Below are 24822 nucleotides of genomic sequence, written 5' to 3' on the forward strand. Positions count from 1 at the left end.
CCCAAGTTTACTGTGATCCTTTTTTTTTAAGGCATTTTTGGACAGAAACTGGAGGATACTGTTCGTTATGAGAAGAGATATGGGAACCGTCTGGCTCCGATGTTGGTGGAGCAGTGCGTGGACTTTATCCGACAAAGGGGGCTGAAAGAAGAGGGTCTCTTTCGACTGCCAGGCCAGGCTAATCTTGTTAAGGAGCTCCAAGATGCCTTTGACTGTGGGGAGAAGCCATCATTTGACAGGTAGATGTCACAATTTTACTAGCCATCTTCACTGAGAAATTCAGACTCAACTGACAGGATGCAGTGAGCTGAGGAGGCATAACCTTGATTGATGTGGTAACAGTTTACAACATAGATTATTTGGCCACAGGAGTTTGCATTGTTTCTATTAAGTTACAAAGTCAAAAATTGGGCACCTTAGATATCTTTCTCTTCCATACTTTCCATCTTAAAACATTTTTTTTGTTCTTCTTCTTTGGTACTAAAGTAAAACTGTATTAAACTTTTGCACTGGAAAAAGTGAATTTATAAAATAGGATTCTTCTCTTGCTTAATGTTTTTAAATTCTTTCTGTTAAGTAATGTTAAAAGTATTATGAGTAGAGATTGAAATATTGGCAATGTAATTAAAAATAAGTATTTCAATAATAACAAAAGCATTATATTTTTAAATATATAGCTCTACTTTAATCTAGAATAGTTTTACAGGGAAACAAGGAGAAGTACAGCATGGTGAAAATAAAAGAATAATGGCAGCCCCAGAGAAGAAAATATAAAGCACTCCTAACTCCACTAATAAAGAGTTAATCTGGCTAATATTTTGTGAATAATCTTCTCTTTACTTTTTGAAAGCTTAGTAGAAAAAATAAAATTTTATCTTAATATTATCAACATTATATACCAGAAATGTTTTCATATTAATAGTTGAAAAATACCCTTTTTTCTAATATATTTTAACTTAACATTTTACCATTAACAACTTCTATAAGCCTCTTTTTAAATATCTAATATTTCACTCTACAGGTATATTATTCACAACTATTTCAATATTGTTAGACATTTACATTATGACATTTTCATTATTATAAATACTATTGTAGTGGATATACACTTGCATAAATACTTTCTATTTTTGGATTACTTAGGATAAATTCTCAGCATTGGAGTTTTTGGATAAGAGTAATCCTGATGCTTGAAAATTAAAAATAGCCTACTGTCTTAGTCCATTCAGGCTGTCATAACAAAATATCATAAATGGAGTGATTTATAAACAAAATTTATTTCTGAAAATTCTGGATTCTGGAAAATAACAGTCAAGGCACTGGCAAATCCGTGTCTGATGAGGACTTGATCTCAGTTCATAGATGGCACCTTTTCACTGTGCCCTCAGATGGTGGAAGGTACAAGGCAGCTCTCTGGGGCCTCTTTTTATTTTATTTTATTATTCTTTAAGTTCTGGGATACATGAGCAGAACGTGCAGGTTTGTTACATAGGTATACACGTGCCATGGTGGTTTGCTGCACCCATCAACCCATCATCTACAATTAGGTATTTCTCCTAATGTTATCCCTCCTCTAATCCCCCACCCCACAACAGGCCTGGTGTGTGATGTTCCCCTCCCTGTGTCCATGTATTCTCATTGTGCAACTCCCACTTATGAGTGAGAACATGCGGTGTTTGGTTTTTTGTTCCTGTGTTAGTTTGCTGAGAATGATGGTTTCCAGCTTCATCCATGTCGCTGCAAAGGACATGAACTCATCCTTTTTTAAGGCTGCATAGTATTCCATGGTGTATATGTGCCACATTTTCTTTATCTAGTATATCATTGATGGGCATTTGGGTTGGTTCCAAGTCTTTGCTATTGTGAACAGTGCTGCAATAAACATACGTGTGCATATATCTTTATAGAAGACTGATTTATAATCCTTTGGGTATATACCCAGTAATGGGATTGCTGGGTCAAATAGTATTTCTGGTTCTAGATCCTTGAGGAATCACCACGCAGTCTTCCACAATGGTTGAGCTAATTTACATTCCCACCAACAGTGTAAAAGTGTTCCTATTTTTCTACGTCCTCTCCAGCATCTGTTGTTTCCTGACTTTTTAATGATTGCCATTCTAACTGGCGTGAGATGGTATCTCATTGTGGTTTTGATTTGCATTTCTCTAATGACCAGTGAGGATAAGCTTTTTTCCATATGTTTGTTGGCCACATAAATGTCTTCTTTTGCATAAATACTTTCTATTTTTGGATTACTTAGGATAAATTCTTAGCATTGGAGTTTTTGGATAAGAGTAATCCTGATGCTTGAAAATTAAAAATAGCCTACTGTCTACTTTTGAGAAGTGTCTGGTCATGTCCTTCACCCACTTTTTGATGTGGTTGTTTGTTTCTTGTAAAATTGTTTAAGTTCCTTGTAGATTCTGGATATTAGCCCTTTGTCAGATGGATAGATTGCAAAAATTTTCTCCCATTCTGTAGGTCGCCTGTTCACGCTGATGATAGTTTCTTTTGTTGTGCAGAAGCTCTTTAGTTTAATTAGATCCCATTTGTCAAATTTGGGTTTTGTTGCCATTGCTTTGGTGTTTTAGTCATGAAGTCTTTGTCTGGGGCCTCTTTTTTAAAAAATGTCTAAACCCAAATTTAATAAGTTGTAGATATAAGCCCAACGCGTGACCGTGGGTAATAACAAATCACAGTTTAGTTATAATTATGAAAATCATGAAATCAGAATGCAAACGAAAGCCTTTATAAGATGAACTTTATCAGTGATGACATGAATATCATCATTAAAGATGGCTTAGTTTTCTTTTTTTTCTTCCTTTTTTTTGAGATGGAGTTTCATTCTTGTTGCCCAGGCTGGAGTGCAATGGCACAATCTCGGCTCACCACAACCTCCACCTCCTGGGTTCAAGCGATTCTCCTGCCTCAGCCTCCTGAGTAGCTGGGCTACAGGCATGTGCCAACATGCCTGGCTAATTTCGTATTTTTACTAGAGACAGAGTTTCTCCATGTTGGTCAGGCTGGTCTCGAACTGCCGAGCTCAGGTGATCCACCCGACTCAGCCTCCCAAAGTGCTGGGATTATAGGCGTGAGCCACCGCACCCGACCTTTTTTCTTTTTTCGAAACAGAATCTTGCTCTGTTGCCACACACTGGAGTGCAGTAGCATGATCTCAGCTCACTGCAACGTCCACCTCACTGGTTCAAGCCATTCTCATGCCTCAGCCTCCCGAGTAGCTGGGATTACGGGCATGTGCCACCATGCCTGACTATTTTTTGTATATTTTGTTGAGATGGAGTTTCACCATGTTGGCCAGGCTGGTCTCAAAGCCTAGGTTTCTATATGTCTCAAGGTTTGCTTTGTATTTAGAATAAATAGTGCAACGAGTGTAAATAACAAACAAATAAAATAACATTGTGCTTCTTAAAAGTTACATATGAAAAGGCCTGAGCGGGGTGGCTCATGCCTATAATCCCAGCACTTTGGGAGGCCAAGGTGGGAGGATCATGAGGTCAGGAGTTTGAGACCAGCCTGGCCAACATGCTGAAACTGTCTCTACTAAAAATACAAAAATTAGCCAGGCATGGTGGCAAGCACCTGTAATCCCAGCTGCTTGGAAGGTAGAGGCAGGAGAATCTCTTGAACCCGGGAGGCAGAGGTTGCAGTGAGCCGAGATCAGGCCACTGCACTCCAGCCTGGGCAACAGGGCGAGACTCAGCCTCAAAAAAAAAAAAAAAAAAAATTATACATGAAAAGAAACACTTTTAAAATTACTAGAGACCTTAATATTTAAAATAAATGTATAGTTTGTCCTTTTCCTTTATAAAGTAAAAAATAATTTACTATTCTGTATTGGTCTGTTTTCATGCTGCTGATAAAGACATATCTGAGACTGGGTAATTTATATAGGAAAAAGGTTTAATTAATAACTTACAGTTCCACGTGACTGGGGAGGCCTCACAATCCTGGCAGAAGGCAAGGAGGAGCAAGTCGCATCTTATGTGGATGGCGGCAGGCAAAAAGAGAGAGCTTATGCAGGGAAAACTCTTGCTTTTAAAACCATCAGATCTCATGAGACTCATTCACTATCATGAGAACAGCATGAGAAAGACCTGCCCCATGATTCAACCACCTCCCACCAGGGTCCTCCCGTGACATGTGGGAATTGTGGGAATTACAATTCAAAATGAGATTTGGGACACAGCCAAACCATATCATATTCCCTCATTTTTAAGGTTTTCTTTTTATTTAAAATGTATATTTTTTCCTATTGTAAATATATTTCTTCTGTTTTACTTTTTTCCATTTTTATTTAGAATTGCGTACAGGTTTGTTACAAAGGTATACTGTATGATGCTGAGGTTTGGAGGAGGAATGAATCTGTAACCCAAGTAGTGAGCGTAGTACGCCAATAGGCAGTTTATTTCAACCCTTAGCACCCTCTCTCCCTCTCCTCTCTTGTATGCCCAGTATCTGTTGTTCCCATTTTTATGTCCATGTTTACCCAATGTTTAGTTCCCACTTATAAGTGAGAACTTGTGATATTTGGTTTTCTGTTTCTTCGTTAGTTCACTTAGGATAATGGTTTCCAGCTGCATCTATGTTGCAGCAGAGGACATTATTTCATTCTTTTTGATGGTGGCATAGTATTCCATGGTATATATGTACCACTTTTGCTTTACCCAGTCCACCATCGATGGCCACTTGGGTTGATTTCATGTCTTTACTATTGTGAATAGCACTGAAATGAACATATAGGTGTATGTGTCTTTTTGCTAGAATAATTTCTTTTCCTTTGGATATATACCTATTAGTGGGACTGCTGGGTTGAATAGTGGTTCAACTCTCACTTCCTTGAGAAATCTCCAAATTGCTCTCCACAGTGGCTGAACTAATTTACATTCCCATTAACAGTGATTAAGTGTTCCCTTTTCTCCTTGGCCTCACCAACATCTGTTATTTTTTGACTTTTTAACAAAAGCTATTCTGACTAGTGTGAGATGGTATTTCACTGTGGTTTTGATATGCATTTCTCTGATGATTGGTGATGATGAGCATTTTTTCATATGTTTGTTGGCATCTTGTATGTCTTCTTTTGAGAAGTATCTGTTCATGTCCTTTGCCCCTTTTTTAATTGTTTATTTGGTTTTTTGCTTGTTGACTTGTTTAAGTTCCTTATAGATTCTGGATAACAGACCTTTGTCAGATGCACAGTTTGTGAATATTTTATCCCTTTCTGTAGGTTGTCTGTTTACTCCCTTGATAGTTTCTTTTGCTGTGTAGAAGTTCTCTAGTTTAATTAGGTCTCATTTGTCAATTTTTGTTTTTGTTGCAATTGCTTTTGAAGACTTGACCATAAATTATCTGCTAAGGTCTGGGACCTCTTTTGTAAGGGCATTAATCCTATTCATGAAGACAGAGCCTTGATCACCTCCCAAAGGCTTCACCTCCTAATACAATTACAGTGGTGATCAAGTGTCAACATATGAATTTGGGGGAACACAAGCATTTAGACCATAGTACATACCAAGTGTTATTTCTCTGTGAAAGTGTAGGAATACTACATGGATAGACACATGGTGAGTATGCAAACGGTCGTAGTCTTTTTAAAGCAATTTGGTAATATATTTCAGGAGCATTCATGCAGGCAATTTCAATCCCAGAAAACAATCAGATATGTAGAGCAAACTTAAGTGCAAAGTTGTTTATTACAAATTGTGTAACAGTAAAAACTGAACACCAATTTATTATCTCCATGTGAGTGTGGTTAATTAAATAATGGTGCATTCATATAAGAAAATATTATACAGTTTTAACATTTGAGGACAATTTTAATTACATAATGATAAATGGAAAAAGAAAACAGGATCAATTAATTGATTAAAACCATGCCTTTTACAAAAAGTATTACAAATAGTTTATAAGGATTCATAAATTTACTCTGAGAGAAAAAAATATATGTGGAGGTACAGAAATGAATTCAGAACAAGGATCAGAAAACAAATTTCAAGACTGCAAATATACTTTTTGCTGAGGAGCTACATCTCTTATTCTATACTTACTACATCTCTTATTCTATTACATCTCTTATTCTTATTACATCTCTTATTACATCTCTTATTCTATAAAAAGAAAATCAGATCAATAGTTAAGTAGGTCAGCCCCATCCACAACATAAAAACAATGACTTATGTAGGAGAAATGTTCATTTTTAGTACCAAAATTAGCAAGAAATATGTCAATAGGCTCCTCATAATAGAATATCGTATAATAGGATAAGCAACATCCTCTACAGTGAACTTCATGAGACAATAATGAGTTTCAGTGCCCTCTTTTAATATTTATATATGGCTAATTATATGACACTGACATTATTGCAAAACATGTTTATTAAAATTATTTCTCCATGGGCATTTATAATTTGGTTCTTATAGCAGATTTTTGCTAATGTAGGGGAATGGAGGAATATTTTATATATTTTAGGATACCTGTAAGAACAGATGTGCCCTGTAAGCAGTTATCTCCAAATCAAGTTCTTGATAACTATTGGCTGACAATAAAATATTGTCCAAAGTTTATGAAATGTGACCTTATTATCTCTTTTATAAAATGTATGTATTTTTGCATAAAACGCACCAATGCATAAACAGACTGAAGAAATCATAAAAAAAGGTTTCTATTGCCAGAAGACTCTGTGAGGTGCTGGGTCTTTCAGAAGTCTTAACAGGAGTGGTATACTCATACCCATCATTTGGCTTTTTCCTTTAAGCCATGTTTTCTTGTCAGCACCCTGGATTTTGTCTTTTTTTCCTATGGCCATTTCCTACATCGAGACTCTTTGACCAGCTAGAGATACTGTCTTAGGGCTGATGGAGTTTCTCAAAATTCTAAAAATGGAACAGTTTCTTTTTTAGGTCACGTTGCTCTTGTACTACCTTAACATATGCACAAATAAAAGAAGCCAATTAATACATTCAGCATTTGGCCTGAAAACCTCCTTAGCTAGGGCCACAAGTTCACCAAGAATGTTCTCTACATTCCAAGTTGCCGCAGTCGATAGTCTTGTTAATTTTTCCAGCACCGTTTAATAAGCATTTACCTTTCTCTAGCCTCTAATAGCAATTTTTTTCCCCTGTTCGTCAAGCTCTTACTAATAGTTTCCTCACTGGCTGCGCAGACTCTGCCTGGTTCCAATACTAATACCCAAAACATATTTTAGGTTTTTGTTGCAGCAACACCCAATTTCTAGTATCAATGACTGTTCGAGGTATCTATTGCTTCATACCAAACCCAATCCAAATGTTTTTAGTTTAAAACAACAACTTTTTCAGATTCTGCAAGTGGGCAATGCTCGGCAGAAAAGCTCTGTCTCTGTTCCACTTGGTGTTGGATGCTACAATTTAGTGAAGCTGCAGTATCCTAGAGAGCTTTACTGACAAGACAGGTGCCTAAGTTGGGCTAGCTAGAATAGCCGATGGCTGATTGAGTCTCTTGTTTTCTCTTCTCAGTCTTGTATCCTTCAGGGCTCCTCCCTATAGCTGATGGTTGAAACTCTTTACACCGTGGCTCAGTACTGAAAGACAGTAAGGGTGGAAGCTACAAGACCTTTAAGGAGTAGGCCCAGAACTGGTGCGATGTCACATCCACTGCATACTCTTGGTCAATGGCAAATCACAAGACCAATTCAGCTTAAAAAGGGGAGAAAGCTGACTCTACTTCTTGATAGAAGTAATGTTATAGATATATAAGGATGAGAGAAACTATCAACAGTCACGTCTGTGAACAATCTACCTTATTCACTCATTCAACAAATAATTTTGGAATGTTAACTATTTCTTAGACACTGTTCTGGATGAAAGAGACAAGGTGCATTCTCTTCTGGGGTTTGCCTTACAAGTCATGGGCAGATAAACAATAAACAGCAAATATATAAATAATTTTGAAAAGTAATGAGGGTGACATGCTAATATGCTAGTGAGTAAAGTGGTGGAGATACCCGTCTCCTTCTTGAGGACGTAACATTTGAGTTGAGATTCGAATGACAAGAGGCCTGTTACACCTATGATATGGTGGAGGTATAACAGGCATGTTGCAGGTAGAAGAATAGCAAGTGCAAAGTCCTAGAGACAGGAACAGCTTAGCTTGCTTGAAGAACATAAAGAAGGCCACTGGGGGCAAGACACAGTGGCTTATGCCTGTAATCCCAGCACTTTGGGAGGCCGAAGTGGGAGGATCCCTTAAGGGTAAGAGTTCCAGACCTGACTGGACAATAAAGTGAGACTGTCTCTACAAAAAAAAAATCAAATTAAAAAACTAGCTGCCTTTGGTGGTGCACAGTGGTAATCCTAGCAACTCAGGAGGCTGAGGCAGGAGGATCACTTGAGCCCAGGAGTTTGAGGCTGCAATGAGTTATGATCATACTGCTGGCACTTCAGCCTCGGTGGCAGAGCAAGACCTTTCTCTAAAAAATAAAAAATTAAAATTAAATATAAAAGGAAGGAGGTCACTGTGACAGGAATGCAGTGAATGATGATGAATAGTGTCCACGGAGGTTGATTCTGTATAACTTGGCAGATTATAATAATTTTTTTTCTTTTTCTTTTTCTTTTACTTTTATTTTTTCTTTTTCTTCTTTTTTCTTTTTTCTTTTTTTTTTAAGAGTCTCCCTCTGTCACCCAGGCCAGAGTGCAGTGGTGCAATCTTGGCTCACTGCAACCTCTGTCCCTGGGTTCAAGCGATTCTCCTGCCTCAGCCTCCCAAGTGGCTGAGATTACAGGTGCATGCCACCATACCTGGCTAATTTTTGTATTTTATTTTTTTTAGTAGAGACAGGGTTTTGCCATGTTGGCTAGGCTGGTCTTGAACTCCTGACCTCAGGTGATCCACCCACCTCGGCCTCCCAAAGTGCTAGGATTAACAGGTGTGCACCACCACACCTGGCCTATAATAAGAAATTTAGTTCTTATTCTAAGTGAAATGGAAATCTGTCAAAATATTTTTAGCAAGTAAATGAAATAATTTTATTTATATGTTAAAAAGGTCATTCTGGCAACCGAAATATCCTTTTGATAAATTGTCAAGCTTGAATCCCTTGGTCTCCGGTGGCAGATATGCAAAATCCTGGATTCTGCTGATTCAAAGAAGGGGTTCCCAGATCCATGAATGGTGAGGTAATAAGAAGAGAATAACATATTTGTGGCAAAATGTAATTGTGAGATACACAGGGAGGGGAAAGAAAATCCATAATTTCCCAGAGGATGGTGAGGTTATTTTCAGAAACTTGTCCAAGCAGAGTGTTCTGCCCCTATGTGTTTTTTTTTTAGTTAATTGGCTGTTTGATCTTTCACATGGTCAAGGCCTAGCTCAACTTTAGTCATTGGGATGTGGAGACAAACTGCCAGGGAACGTTCGTTAGTTCAAGTTTATCTCACCCAGGTTCTTTAATCCTTCCCCTGTTGTTTTCAATGTTTTGTACATATCTGCCCTCTTCTGAAGAGCATCTGTGTTCTTAAATATGCCTGTGCTTTTGAAGCTATGGATCCGTTTGGGGTCCATAGCCTCAAAATGATAAAAATACAGACTGTGCATAATGCTTTGAATAGATATTAAGTTGTAAATACAGAAATGTTTCCTTGTGAAACATTTTAAAGAGTAAGAATGAATAAATATTTTCCCTGTTGATTCTAATAATGCTTATTTCTCACCAAAGAGTCAATAAGATTCAGGTTTTGTCTTTGTTAAAATATATTTATTAAAACCTAGAAAGAAGTTCCCACAGGTATTCTGCAAAGACAATCTCTAGTCACTGACATTGTACCTCTAATGTTAAGCCCTGAAATTTAATTTTTAAATAGCATTTTAAAAATCATAAAGTTATTAAGTTTAATTTGATATCATAAAGTTATTAAGTTTAATTTGAATATTATTTAATTTAATACCATAAAGTTATTAAGTTTAATTTCAATATTATTAAAGTTATATTTTGATTATAACGTTTTATGTACAATTTAGAATATGGAAGAATACAAGAAGGAAATATGAATATTTTAAAATTCGACACTCCAGAGAGCTCTTTCTATACATAGCAGATAAATAAATAGATAAGCAGAGATTTAGATGTGTCAAAATTCAGCTATGTATAAAATATATCGGAACCATACAGCTTTTATATCTTACTTTTTCTCCTTCACATTATATCATGGACATTTTCCCATGTCATTAAGTAGTTTTCACTGTGTGTGATCTTCAGGACTATATAATGTGTGATCTTAAGGACTATGTAATAATTCATTGTATCAGTACATTGGTTTCTTTAATTCTGCCCCATTTGTTTTCAATGTTTTGCACATATCTGTCCTCAGCTGAAGAGCATGTATTCATACATCTGCCTGTGCTTTGGAAGCTATGGATCCATTTGGGATTTGGAAGATAATATTTCACATTTGAATGAGAAGAAACACTTTGTCCTGTGTGAGGGAAAAACAGAAAAGGTGGTGTGAGAAAAAAACATTTGAAATTCATACGCTATTGGAATTTGGAGTAGTTGTGAGTGCATGGATGAGCCTTTATTAAGCCATGTACTTTCTGCTCTTCTTTAATTATACTGTATACTCTTTTTTCCAGTTCTGAAGTTCAAGTTTGATACTTTTATATAGGCATGACTCATTGTTCCTACGGTTATGACATATTCCCACATACTCCTTGGCCAGTGAATTTTGTGAGAAAGGGCGTTCTCATTGACCTGAAAGAATTTGTATTCTTTCAGTTCCTGTCAACTGTAAAAACAAACAAACAAAAGAAAACAGATATCATAGTTTCTAACCATTCTTGTCTTTATTCTTTCTATTTAGAAATGAAAACAAATTAAAACATAACTTTTTATATTAAACTTCCAAGTTTTGAGGGGACAAAAATGAAATCTAGAATGTGTAAAATCAAATTAGATATTGAATATTATTTTGTTACCAAAGCCCTCCAGATGGTATCAGCTGTTCAAGAAGATACATTTTGGAAGCGTTGGGAAGGTAGGGTCAAGAATGGCAGTGTGGTCACCATCCTAGCATTAACTGCTGGGCAACAGAATACGCTCTTAACAACACAGTGTTCAGGAGCAAGGACAGAGGCTTCATGAAGCCAGTAATTTTACACATTCTGTCCAAGAATCCTGTAAAACAACTGCTGTTTCAGGTCCCCCAGCTGCCCACCCACATACTCAGTTCACACTTCCCTTGTTCCTCTTTCTGCTATTCTCCCCTTTCACTTATTTTTCAAATTTGTTTTGGTGACTAAATAAACTGCAAGTCCACAGAGATAAAATGAAAAAATAAAAGCCTAAAATTTAGGAGACAGAAAAGCCAGACATATTTTAATTTAATCCTCTGGGAAGGAATTTAGGTCTGGGAATTACTGAACTGAGTTATGAAAAAGTGAACTTGAAAGTAGGGAGTACTACAGACATAGGAGAGATTTTTCAGTATCAGTATGTGTAAGAATGACTTAGAGAAATACCTTAAGATTCAGAAACCCAGACCCCACTTGCTCTCATTCTGATTTAAATGGTTGGAGAATGCCTAGGAATCTGCATGGTAAATCCACAGGCGATTTTTTTTTTTTTAATCTGCCTGTGCTGCCCAGAGGCAGGAACCCTGTCCTCTTAGTCATGGATTTATCATCTGCACCCAGCAGAGAGACTGGCAGAGAGCAGGCACGAGGTCAGGGCAGAGGGAGACTCATAGGCACTAGTGCAATTATTATAAGCATAAAGATGTTGAAATGAGGAGAGTGTCCAATGTGGAGGGGAGAATGAGATCTGGATTCCAAGGGAAGACAGGAGAAGGTGCTGTAAGGAGACGTAAATAAGCCCGTCCTCCAAGGCAAAAAGCTGGGGCCAGTGAGGCAACAGAGATCACTCTGACTGAGAGTTGGTTACAGGGATCAGAGGAAAGGAAGAGGAAACAGTGGAGGGCTCTGAAATCTGGTCTGTTCAGTCTAGGCTCTTGTTTTTGACAGAGCATATGTGCACTTTGCAATCAGAGATTGGAAAACCCATTTGACCACCATTGCATTAAAACAAATGAGCTGCCCCAAACATAACAAGAAAAAAAGATGTTTTGTTTAGGGCAGAAAAATCCATCATCTGCTGCTGCAAATTAAAATACAGGAGGTAGTTAGTAGATAAAATGTTCATCCTTTAAGGAAGAATAGTAACTTTATCAATAATAACCTACCTTGTGCTGGATACTATCCTGATTATTTCATTTAATCCTCAACTTCCTGAAGCTTCTATCTAAGATTACTCTGTTTATTCCCTTCAAGGCATTTGAGCTCCTTTAGTAGTTATCTTGTTTGTTTGTTTCTTTACTGCTTATCATCTGCCTTCCCCATGCCAATTTAAGCTCCTTGAGGGCAGGATCCTTACCTGTCCTGATGCTACACCCCTCTCTGAGCACAACAGCTGGCGTATAGTATGCACCAAACATTTATCAAGAGAATATCCTAATACCTACTTGTTTTACAAATGAAGATCCTTGCTCGTGCTCCCTTCGGCAGCACATATACTAAAATTGGAAGATCCTTGCTTGTTTTAATTTGTTCTAGCTTAGTATTTAAAATGCTCGGCAGCACATATACTAAAATTGGAAGATCCTTGCTTGTTTTAATTTGTTCTAGCTTAGTATTTAAAATGTTTGGCCGGGTGCAGTGTCTCACGCCTGTAATCCCAGCACTTTGGGAGGCCAAGGCGGGTGTATCACCTGAGGTCGGGAGTTCAAGACCAGCCTGGCCAACATGGAGAAACCCTGTCTCTACTAAAAAATACAAAAAATTAGCTGGGTGTGGTGGCGCATGCCTGTAATCCCAGCTCCTCAGGAGGCTGAGGCAGGAGAATCACTTGAACCCAGGAGGCGGAGGTTGCGGTGAGCCGAGATTGTGCCATTGCACTCCAGCCTGGGCAAAAAGAGTGAAACTCTGTCTCAAAAATAAATAAATAAATAAATAATAAAATGTTTGAGTGTTTGTACTGAGGCAGTGCTACACATTCTCATGGCTTTGCTGCTGCTGTTCAGTAGTAGAAGGGCTGCTCTCGGCCCAGAGCCCAGATCTCTTTCTAAACAGCAGAACCTGTCCCTTTTCTGTTTTAAAATCCAAGTCCCTATACATGACTATTTGAATAAGCCCATGCTCCCCCCGCCTACCCCCCACCCCGACCCTCAGCATGTGCTCCTTTCCAGTTGGAAGAGCCTAACAAATTCACCCAATTCCCCTTCCTTCTGGAGTTTTCCATGATCCCTGTATTATTTTCCTAGGGTTGCCATAAAAAAGCATTGCAAACTGGGTAGCTAAAAACAAAACAAAACAAAACAAAAACTGTAACTTATTATCTCATATTTCTGGAAGCTGAAAATCCAAATCAAGATGTCAGCAGAGCCATGCTCTCTCTGAAGGATTTAGGGAAGTATCTGTTTCATGCCTGTCTCTTAAATTCCGATATTTGCCAGCAACCCTTGTCGTTCCTTGGCTTGTAGCTACATAACTCCAACCTCTGCCCCCATCTCCACATGGCATTCATCTCCCAGGTAATTCTTATATGCATGGTCCTAAAACCATAACTTGGGAAATACTAGCTAGACTATCAGCTGCAGGAGTGTATGGTAAAGGACATTGATCATTAGAATTGATGTAACTCTGTTTCTTATATATGAAATGGGGAAAGGATAGCAGCAGAATCAACATCACACCATTACTGGGAGCAACATATCAGTTCTGACTGGGCTAGGCAAACCATATGCTATTGTGAGATAAACTATTTTCTGGGGTATAGAGTTGATGTGTAAAATACATGATTTCCTTCCTGCTGAATAGGGCCTGAAGTTTCAAGACAGCCTGAAAGATACACCCCTCCCTCTTTACACTTTATTCCATGCAAAAACTCAAACTCTAAAGATTTCAGTAGCAAACTGTACAGTTATAGAGCCTCAATATCATAGTGTGAATAAAAGATCTTAGGGCAGGGCTTGATGGAAGAAAGTGGAGAAAGCAAATGGTAGCTTGAGGGCATGTGAACCAGTAAAAGGGAGGAATTTACATTCTTAAAGAGTTGGAAAAGCAAAGAACTGACTCCCAGGAATTTGCCTAAGGCAAGCCCTGTGTGTGTAAATGGTAAACTGGCTACCTATTTTCAGCACACTAAATGATTTTCTGAAGTCAAGGAGAGGGGCTAGCCCCTAAAATCCTGAATAGCTGTTTATTTACAGTAACTCTTAACGTTCCTATTTTTTGATGCATTTCTTAAAGGTATGATGGTGTGACAAAATTTGATAACTATTGTCTTTAAGTATTTCTCAAACTTCTCTCATTCACATACTACCCTTGTTACCCGGGGGTTCTTGCTCCCAGAGCTCCCAAGATGGAGGTGGGCCGCTTCCAAAATGGTGGCGGGCCACTTTGAAGATGGTGGCAAGCCTTGTGCTCTCTGACCTGGGGTTCTTGGCCTCACGGATTCCAAGGAATGGAATCTTGGTCCATGCAGTCAGTGTTATAGCTCTATTAGAAGCCGTGGGTCATAGCTCTATTAGAAGCCGTGGGTCATGGAAGAGAACCGTGGAACCCAGTGACTAGTGTTCAGCTCCATTAGGAGGAACCCACTTAGCGATGCAGAACAATGGCAAGCCTTTAGCCCGATCGGGAGGGGCAATGGACGCCTCGCTGAATCAGGAGCACAGCCGACACCCAGCCAGGGTGGAAGTCAGCGGCAGGCAGCAAAAAGCAGTGGTGGATGGCGAGTGAAAACTCAGCTCCAGCCCTAACAAACACGGACCAGAAGAGAGTGCAGTTGCAAGATTTAATAGAGTGAAAACAGAGCTCCCATACAAAGGGAGGGGACCCAAAGAGGGTAGCTGTTGCTGGCTCAAATGCCTGGGTTTATATCCCGATCATAGTCCCTCCCGCTGTGCTCTCAGGCGGTAGATGATTGGCTATTTCTTTACCTCCTGTTTTTGCCTAATTAGTATTTTAGTGAGCTTTCTTTACTATCTGATTGGTCAGGTGTGAGCTAAGTTGCAAGCCGCTTGTTTAAAGGTGGATGCAGTCACCTTCCCAGCTATGCTTAGGGATTCTTAGTCAGCCTAGGAAATCCAGCTAGTCCTGTCTCTCACCCTCATGATTTTAGCCATTTCCATATAACGCCTGCACTAGGTTTACTGATATTTTTCTTTAAATGTATTCACAGTTTTCTTTATCAGTTTTGGGGTAAAAGGGAATTTATATATTATTGCTCTTTGAAAACCAGCACTACTTGCATAAACACGAGGTCAATGTAACATAAGCACAATGACAAGAACATGTTATTAAATGTCCCTGGACACAGCTTCTTTCTGAAGATGCTGACCCTAAGGCCCTCTGTTGATTTGATGAAAATGGAGATTGGCATGTGCTGGTACCATTTTAACATGCCTCTTTTTCCCAACTGATGCTTCCTCTTTGATGTAATCAGGAGAATTGAAATTTAGAAATTAGTATTTCTGTTAAGTTATTTGAAGTCAATATCCTGTTTCTGTGGCACCTTAAATTACTTGGAATAACCCACACTTTGGGAAATACAGTCAGGTCACTCTTTGCTAACACTGGGAGGCCTCTTTCCTTTAAATGCTTGGCTTCTTCTCTAATTTGAACAAAGAATAACTCACAAGAGTTCCATGAAACTGCTTTATAAACACACCAAAGTCTGAAAAATAACAGGCTTTAAGGAAAAATATCTCATATGTGAGAAATACCTCCATGAATGGGTATTAACTAAATATTTTATGTGGGACAGGGTGTAAACTAGAAATCTGTCATGTTGCATCATGTTTTACTCTGTGATATATCTAAAAAGCCCATGCATCTAGAATTGGGAGTATGAGCTTTGCTTTCCTTTCAATTTATCTTTGCAGAATTTTGGCTCACTTCCACTGAAACCCAATGGGGTTATAAATAAAAGTGCCCAATTAACCAATAAGTTTTTCATTATTGGGCATATCTATCAGTTGGTGTTTGTCTACTTATTTGCAAGAACGTAGTGTGGAAGTTAAAAGTTCAGGCTTCCATGACAGAAAAATGTGGGACTAAATCTGCCACTTACTACCCATGTTAATGAACCGAAACTCGTTACCTAACTTCTCAAAACTAATTTCCTCATATAAAATAGAAATCATAATGTCTAATCTCACAGGGTTGTTGTATTCATTCACTTAAAAATAAGACAAAATGGAACAAAAACACCTGGAATATGTAAGTGAAATTGCACAGGCCCTGGCATGTTATGGGGCACTTTTTATTGTCATTGTGAGTATGATGATGGGGATAATGATGGTATTGATGATTGTCACTAACATTTTATGGTATAAGGAAAAGTAATATGCTTGAATCTATGTGATACAGAGACTAGTATTTCACCAGAAACTCTTCAGTATGTTTAATCCAGGAAGTCTTCATTCATGGTTTGAAACCTCTAAGATAATTCCTACTGAAAATAAGTAAGATACCTATAAGATTTTATATTATGAAAGTGTGTTTTTTCTGTGTTTTATGACTCAGATTGTAAATTTTCTTGCATGAAAGCATATCCCTTAAAGTCATGTTTTTGAAATAAAAGGAATCATGTTTTACATTTCATAATTCACTCATTTCAAGGGTACAATCCTAGTGATTTTTAGCAAATTTACCAAGTCATGCAACCATTACCATAAATCAATTTGAGAACATTTTTATCACCCCAATAAGATTTCTTATGCCCATTTACTGTTATCCTCAGCTCCTCTTCCTTCCCAGGCAACCACTAATCTGATTTCTGTCTCTATAGATTTTTCCTTTTCTGGAAATTCTTATAAATGGAATCATTCACTGTTCTTTTGCATCCAGCTTTCACTTAACATAATGTTTTTGAGGTTCATCTGTTATGGGAAAAGGGTCCAGAGGGTTCTTGGATCTCCTGCAAGAAAGGATTCAGGGCGAGTCCGTAGAGTAAAGTGACAGCAAGTTTATTAGGAAAGTAATGGAATAAAAAGAATGGCCACTCCATAGACAGAGCAGCCCCGACGGCTGCTGGTTGCTGATTTTTATGGTTATTTCTTGATGATATGCTAAACAAGCGATGGATTATTCATGCCTCCCCTTTTTAGACCATATAGGGTAACTTCCTGACATTGCCATGGCATCTGTAAACTGTCATGGCGCTGGTGGGAGCGTAGCAGTGAGGATGACCAGAGGTCAGTCTCATTGCCATGTTGGTTTTGAGGGGGTTTGGTTGGCCTCTTTACTACAACCTGTTTCATCAGCAGGGTCTTTATGACCTGGATCTTGTGCTGACCTCTCATATCTTATCCTGTGACTTAGAATGCCTTAACCATCTGGGAATGCAGTCCAGTAACTTGCAGCCTCGTTTTACCCAGCCCCTATTCTAGATGGAGTTGCTATGGTTCACATGCCTCTGACACATCCATGTCATAACATATATCAGTAGTTTTTCCCTTTTATTGAAGAGTTGAATTTCATTTTGTGGATATACTACATTTTGTTTATTCATCCGTCAGTTGGTAGACATTGACGTTGTTTCTACTTTTTGGCTATTATCAATAAGATTTCCGTGATTCGTGTACAAGCTTTTGTGTAGAGATATGTTTAATTTCCTTTGGGACTATTCCTAGAAGTGGAATTGCTGGGTCATATCTATGTTTAACATTTGAGGAACTGTTAAACTGCTTTCCAAAAAGGCGGAACCATCTGATATTTCCAACAGCAATGTATGAGGGTTATGACTTTTTATTCTACCCATTCTAGTGAATATGAAATGGCCTTTTATTTTAGTTTTTGACATGCAATTTCCAAGTGACTAGTGATGTTCAACCTTTTTTTCATGTGATTATGGCTATTTTTTACTTTTTATGAGCCATTCTAAAAAGTAACCAGAGGCTTAGTTACTGAATCTCTAACTCATAGTGTAAGACAGAAATTAAAAGGATTTTCTGGTGTATCCAGTTAAGTCAGCAAGTTGTTGCCAAAATCAATCAAGTCCGCACAAAACTTGTTCCTTCTCTGAATACTTCAACAATCTTATATTCCAACATAGAAGTATTCTTAACATATTGCACTTGATGATACCACCCTTATCATTAATATGTATATATAAATTGAGGGGAACAGATAAAAAGTTTTAAAAGAATTCAAGTTACTCTTTAGAAGGCGGTTTTAAAATATTTTATTTTCCTGATTCTTTTGATAATCCGTGTTAAGGAAATGGTTACAGAGTCTCTAAGGAATTAATAGTAATGTTCTGGGAATATCAGTTTAGTGTTGAGATAAATGTCTGTGATATCATGGGAACACACATTTACATACCCAAGAGGACATCACTGTGGATATTCATTGAAAACTCTGTGTTCATAAAGTAAAACACATAGAACTAGAAGATGAACTCAAAGAAGGTGGAGGATTTTGTGAATCTTAATTATCTTTTTTATCTCTAATGCCTAGAATAATGTCTGATATAATGTAGGCATTCAATAAATATTCGATGAATAAGTCAACACTAGGAGTGTATTTTGAATGTCATTGTTGAATGAAAAAATACCCATATTTCTGATATCTCAGGAAGTAGAAAACTCAAGTGCTTGTTTCTATAGATTAGAATTTAGGAAACTTGAAAATTATCATGTTGCAAAATAATTTCTAAACTTTTGTTGGAATTTAATTTTTGTCATCTAAGGCCAAATGCCTGCCTGGGTCAGTGTACAAAGTCATAGTCCTATCTATGAATGGGTTCAAAATTTCATAAAAACCACAGTTCTAAGTCAGGACCAGTACCTTTATTTGTTTTCTGCTCCTGAAATGCTGTCATGAATATCGATGCACTATACTTCCAAAGTAAACTAGATTTTGATTTATAACAAAGCAATAATAACAAGAACCAAACCAGAATAAAACAAAAAACTTGCCTCTTCTCAATAAATTTGTTTCATCACTCTCTTTCCTCACTCTGACCCCTCTTACAAAGTAGTCCAAACAGAAAACACTAATATAAGAAACATCTGACATGTAGTGACAAAGGATCCCTTCTAGCAAAGCACACGACTGCATTTTAATGTGAGAGCCATAGGAAAGACACAACTGGATTCTTTTAAAGCTTTTTATGTGTTCCCCTCAATTTATACATACATATTAATAAACTAAGGTGGTATCGTCCAGTCCAGTACACTAAGAATACTTCCATGTTGGAATAAAAGATTGTTGAAGTAAAAGGGACAAGTTTTGTGTGGACTTGAATGATTTTGGCAATAACTTGTTGACTCAACTGGATATACAAGAAAATCTTTTTAATATTCCTCTTACACTATGAGTTAGAGATTCAGCTGCGTAAAACTAGGCTTCTAGTTACTCATTTCTTGCATGAAGCACAAGGATTTGTTTACTTTATTTATTTTTATTGGAAGAAAATATATTTTCTAGAAAAGAATATATGTGTTTTTTCATTGTTCATCCCGGAATTAGATAATCATAATTCTCTAAACTTGTGGTGAATATGGCAGGAAATGAGTGACATGCAGTAAAGTCATTGTTGGGGACACATTAATAAGTTACTTTCTAGCCTTCATTAGCTAGAAAATTATTTGCGATGTTTGGCCATATTTTATTTTTTATTTAAAAATGGAAATATTAAAGTATATATAATATGGCTTTTAAATGCTGTTAGAAAATATACACACACATATGCACACGTGCATACACACACACACATATTTAAGCATAAATGTACCCCTCAGCATGAAAACACCGATAATACTTCTCTTGGGAAGTCCTTGGTTACATAATCTAAAGTCTCTCCGATTATGAGAAAAATTGTTGAATGTATTATGAAGATTACATTTCCTTTGTTTCTTCTGAAACTCCATCTGCAGAGCTTAGCGAAGGGAAAAACATGTAGGCAGGCAGAATACAATGGTGAAGTAACTAAGTACAGCCAAAACTTCTCTATTTTTGCTATGTCAGTTCATTAACAGTTTGCCAAAACTTTTAAGACCATGTGAAACTGAAATTACACCCATTGTGCTTCAAGCCCTAGGTCCGACTGAAGCAAGAAAGGGCTGTGTGATGAAGTCTCAGGCGTACATTAATACATTTACTAATAATGGAAAGACATGAAAATTGGAACAGCTATGTAAACTCTCAATGAAAAAATACTATTAAGTGTTTGTGTATCAGGAATCAAAGGTTAGGAAAATAGTGTACCCAGCTTAGCAAAAAATCAAAACTCATTATCTATAGAATCTAATGAGATAACTGCATCATTATAGTGCACCTAGAGATTGTGCATTATTTCATTCCATTCTTTTTATTTCTGAGTCATTCCTGGGAGAAATGTGAGGTGAGAAAGAAGCTCACCTCTCTCAAACTAGTCGTGTAATCTATTGTATGGTGGATATTATAGTATATAGTATAGGTGCTATTTGTTAAGTGTAACATTAAAATTTCTACAAATGTGTTTTCTTGTTGTGTCTCTTACAGTGAGTAGGTTATATCCACCTGAAAATAGGTCACCTGAATTGGCAATATCTACCAATCTTTTAAATCATTCTTGCATTCCTTAGTATTTATGTTATACTTTGTGAATTTAGGAAGTCATGTTCCACAGAGTAGTCAGAGAAGGAGTTAATGTGTGGATGTTACTTCATTATGACTCCCAATCTAGATCTAGAATGCCCATGTTTATTAAAAGTCTTAAGCAAACTAACTACTTTGTCCACTGGTAACTACAGATACTCTGTGGGACCTCAAGGCTTTAGCTTTCTCCTGGGACAATTAAAAATCAATGTAATGAAGATCTACTGACACTGAGAAGAGAACAACATCCCACAGGAGCTTTGATTTTTTTTTTCATACCATAAAACTGATTGGATATGTTTAAAATAATTCTACAAAGAACAAAATATATATGTATCTGTATGTATGTACATTTATGTGTGTGTAATATGTGTATGTACACACATTTACAATAGAATCTCTGTAGTTTGCAAACTATCATATCTTTATCATTGTTTACTTTCAAATGTCAATACTTGTTCTAAATAATTATATAGATCATTGATATGACTAGAATCTTAGTTTAATAGAAAAGTCTTTGTGGGCTCATTGACTTTAGATTTAATCACTTTGGGAGAAAGTTAATGGGTTTTTTTGTAAGTTTGGGAAATACTAGTGTCATTTGCAGTATGAGATGTATTGTGTGCATTTGAATGTTACTTCTAAGTTAAATTTGGATATAAGATTGAATCTTGGGTCTAAAATCAGTAAAGCTGAAGGGACATACTGAGTCATTTTAATAACTGTGTTGATTTATTTTGTAACTGACAGCACTTAAGGTTTTAATTAGGTTTTGTTATTATTGGAACTGAATGCATATGTTGTACAAAATAGCCTGTTTAAAAGAGTTTTATTCTGATGTAATTATTGCTTTAAGGAAACTTTTCTGAATGTTCTACATTAAGCCTTATAAGTGTCTCGATCCTGCTAACCTTTCTTTTTTGGTTAAAACACCTTGGTACTATAATAGAAAATGTCAGAATTTATTTTTATTCTTTAGTCTAAATTTTTAATTTACATAGGCACATTATTCTAAAGTGAATTGATGCTCTCAAACATATTAATTCAAACTAAATGACAACTCTAATGACTAATTTATAAAATAAGTGTTTTTTGTGGGATACATATTTGTTTATTTATGCTTAAACAATTGCCCTTTGCATTCAAATATCGTATTCAAAAGCTATACAACAATTCATTTTGTTTGTTATTTATATTTAGTACTGATGATTACCACTTATATATGTTTTTTTTCAACTTTTTTTTATTATACTTTAAGTTTTAGGGTACATGTGCACAACGTGCAGGTTAGTTAGGTATGTATTCATGTGCTAGGAGGACAGGCTTGATATCAGGAAGACCAGTTAATATGGTATTGTGTTAGTGGAGGTGAGTAATATAAACTTGAACTTAAGCATTGTCAGTAAGACTGCCAAAGAAAGTATGGATTCATAAGCTGTTATGTCAGAATATATATGAACCAGGCATTTGTATTTCTTTTTAAACTTCCCAGGTAATTCCAACATACTGCTCAGTCAGAGAATCACCAATCACTGTTAGATTTAGAGTCCTGGGGACAGTCAAATTTAGTTTGACTTCTAGGTTTCTTGCTTGTTTGTGTAAATGGTGAGGCCATCCACTGTGAAAAAAAAATGCTAAAAGAGAAACAATTTTACACAAGGGGAGATTTTTCTGTTGTTGCCAGTCAATTTTGTTCACATGAAGTTCAAATATGTATGAAACATCTAAAAATTCAGTGGAAAGGTCTGATGCAGTGATAGATATTATGTAGTCTTGTAGCAAAGTGATAGTGGAACTCATGGATTAATACAAAGAGTGTGCAGGTTATCCAGGAAAACAACACCACTTAGAGGCCAGCAGAGGAAGAAGAGCTTGGGAGCTAACTAGTAAGGAATGGTGGTCAGAGAAGAGGCAAGGAGGTGGAAGGGAAAGGCAAGTAAGGTGTCAAAGAAACATTGAAATAGAGACTTACTCATGGGAAATATTAGTCAGAGATAGAAAATTAATAAATATCCATAATTTTTTTCAGTTTAGGGAGTTAGCTACTTTCTTTTTGAGGAGTCTGTTGTTTAGAAGCACCAAACTGGGATTGCTCAAAGTAATCTCTATCTTACAGCTATACTACAAGGTATTTTATTTTTATTTGTTTATTATTGAGTATCTTATATACGTAAAGAGAGTGATTTGTGTATACGTGTGTGTGTGTGTGTACTCACATGCATGCGCTTGCACATATGGGATGTTGGAGTGAATGTATATTAAACTGTCAAATATTCTTTGTACATGATAAACTAGCATTGAAAGGGAGGAGTCTCTACACACATGCCTCTATACACAGAAGAAATTCTAGAGGGAGGAAAGAAAAGATCAATGTGACAGTTTGGTAAAGCTGGGCACTATATTAGTCTGTTTTCATGCTACTGATAAAGACATACCGGAGACTGCGCAATTCACAAAAGAAAGAGGTTTCATGGAGAACTCACAGTTCCACATGGCTGGGGAAGCCTCACAATCATGGTGGAAGGCAAGGAGGAGCAAGTCACATCTTACATGGATGGCAGCAGGCAAAGAGAGAGCTTGGGCAGGCAGACTCCCCATTTTTAAAACCATCAGATCTCATGAGTCCCATTCACTATCATGAGAACAGCACAGGAAAGACCAGCCCCCATGATTCGATCATCTCACACTGGGTCCCTCCCACAACACGTGGGAATTATGAGAGCTACAAGATGAGATTTGAGTGGGGACACAGAGCCAAATCATATCAGGCACTATGTCCCCACCAACGTTCTTTCCACCACGTCTTCCACTGGGGAATACTGGAAAGACAAATATGTAACTAGTAGGCTCCCATGGATGTTAGAAATGTTCAGATTTAAACTCGTGACCATTACACATTGGAACTCCCTCCTTTCTTTGGAATTCCCTCCTTTGGAATTTTCCACTCCAAATACATGTTCTGTATCAGTGTTTCTCAATATTGGCTGCATGTGAGAATAAAATATCAATGCCAAAGCTTTAACCCAGATCAATTATACCAGAATGTATAAAACCTAGTCAGCAATTATTAGAAAAAGTTTTCAGGTAATTCCAGTGTGCAGCCAAGGTTGTGAATCCTTGTTTTCTATATCACATTGGTTTATCTGAGAGTGTTTCCATAAATTCACATTAACTGAAAGCATGTTTCTGCTTTTGCAATAACATTTCATTACCTGGTACTCTGACAGTTCCATCAACAGTTTTATAGACAAGCTCACCAAAAGTAGACTTGGGGGTTGTTTTAGTCAATTCAAACTGTCATAATAAAATACTGTAGACTGGTAGCTTGAAACAACAGAAACTTCTCATTTCACAGTTCCAGAAATTGGAAATCTAAGATCAGGGTGTTAATATGGTTGTGCTCTGGTGAAGGCTGTCTTTTTGGCTTGCAGATAACTGTCTCTGACTGGATTCTTGGACAAGGGGAGAGAGAAAGAGCAAGCTTTTTAGTGTCTCATTTTATAAAAGCCCTAATCCCATCAGGCCAGGGCCGCACCCTCATGAATTCATCTAACCCTAATTACCTCCCAGAGCCCTATCTCCAAGTACCATTACATTAGGAGTTAGGGCTTTGATGTACGAAGAGGATAGGAGGGATATTCAGACCATAGCAGGATCATGCAGTTCTCTGCCATCAGTAGCTTTAAACCAGGATAATTCTACTGGGACAAGCACTAGTTCAATGTAGTCCAGCACTTAGCCTGGAGGTGAAACAGTCCTTTGGTTTTGTATATAATTCAGTGGTGACATTTATGTAACTGTGCAATAAGCCATGACAGTTTAACCAGATTCTAGTTTCACTGCTGAAAAGTGCATCTGTTTTGACAGATACATAAAAAAATAAGTTTGAACAGAACCAGACTTTTTAAAGAGATGCTGAATTTAGTCTGGAGCTGCTTAGTGTCTTTGGAATTGCTTTTCTGTGTCTTGCTGAACTCAGCAGGCAAAGCAGAGGACTGCTTAAGCAAGACCATTTCGTGGTAGCATTGGTGTTGGAAGTACTGCCAAATGCTTTCAGTCTCATGTACGTTCTCCCTGGAGGCTGATGGATATGACATTATTATTATTTTTTTAATTCTAAGTGAGTTTTAGGTCATCTCATTGTGCTTGTTGCAGATAAGTTCACAATATCTTTAATAACTTCCTGTG

At 37.2% G+C, this 24822-nt stretch overlaps 1 protein-coding gene across 8 annotated transcripts in view; it reads left to right on the forward strand.

Moving 5' to 3' along the window:
* The window catches only part of ARHGAP24 (Rho GTPase activating protein 24), a 527517-nt gene that overhangs the window by 466885 nt on the left and 35810 nt on the right, over positions 1-24822 (forward strand). For 7 of the 8 annotated variants that reach the window (NM_001025616.3, XM_024454238.2, XM_047416235.1 and 4 more), the window contains one exon: positions 32-239. The exons of the other annotated variant lie outside the window; for it this stretch is intronic. In NM_001025616.3, the coding sequence (NP_001020787.2) occupies positions 32-239 (208 nt within the window). The remainder of the gene's footprint in view (positions 1-31; positions 240-24822) is intronic. 8 annotated transcript variants of the gene reach the window in all.

The sequence above is a fragment of the Homo sapiens genome, chromosome 4 (genome assembly GCF_000001405.40).
Source record: "Homo sapiens chromosome 4, GRCh38.p14 Primary Assembly".
NCBI classification, from domain to species: domain Eukaryota; kingdom Metazoa; phylum Chordata; class Mammalia; order Primates; family Hominidae; genus Homo; species Homo sapiens.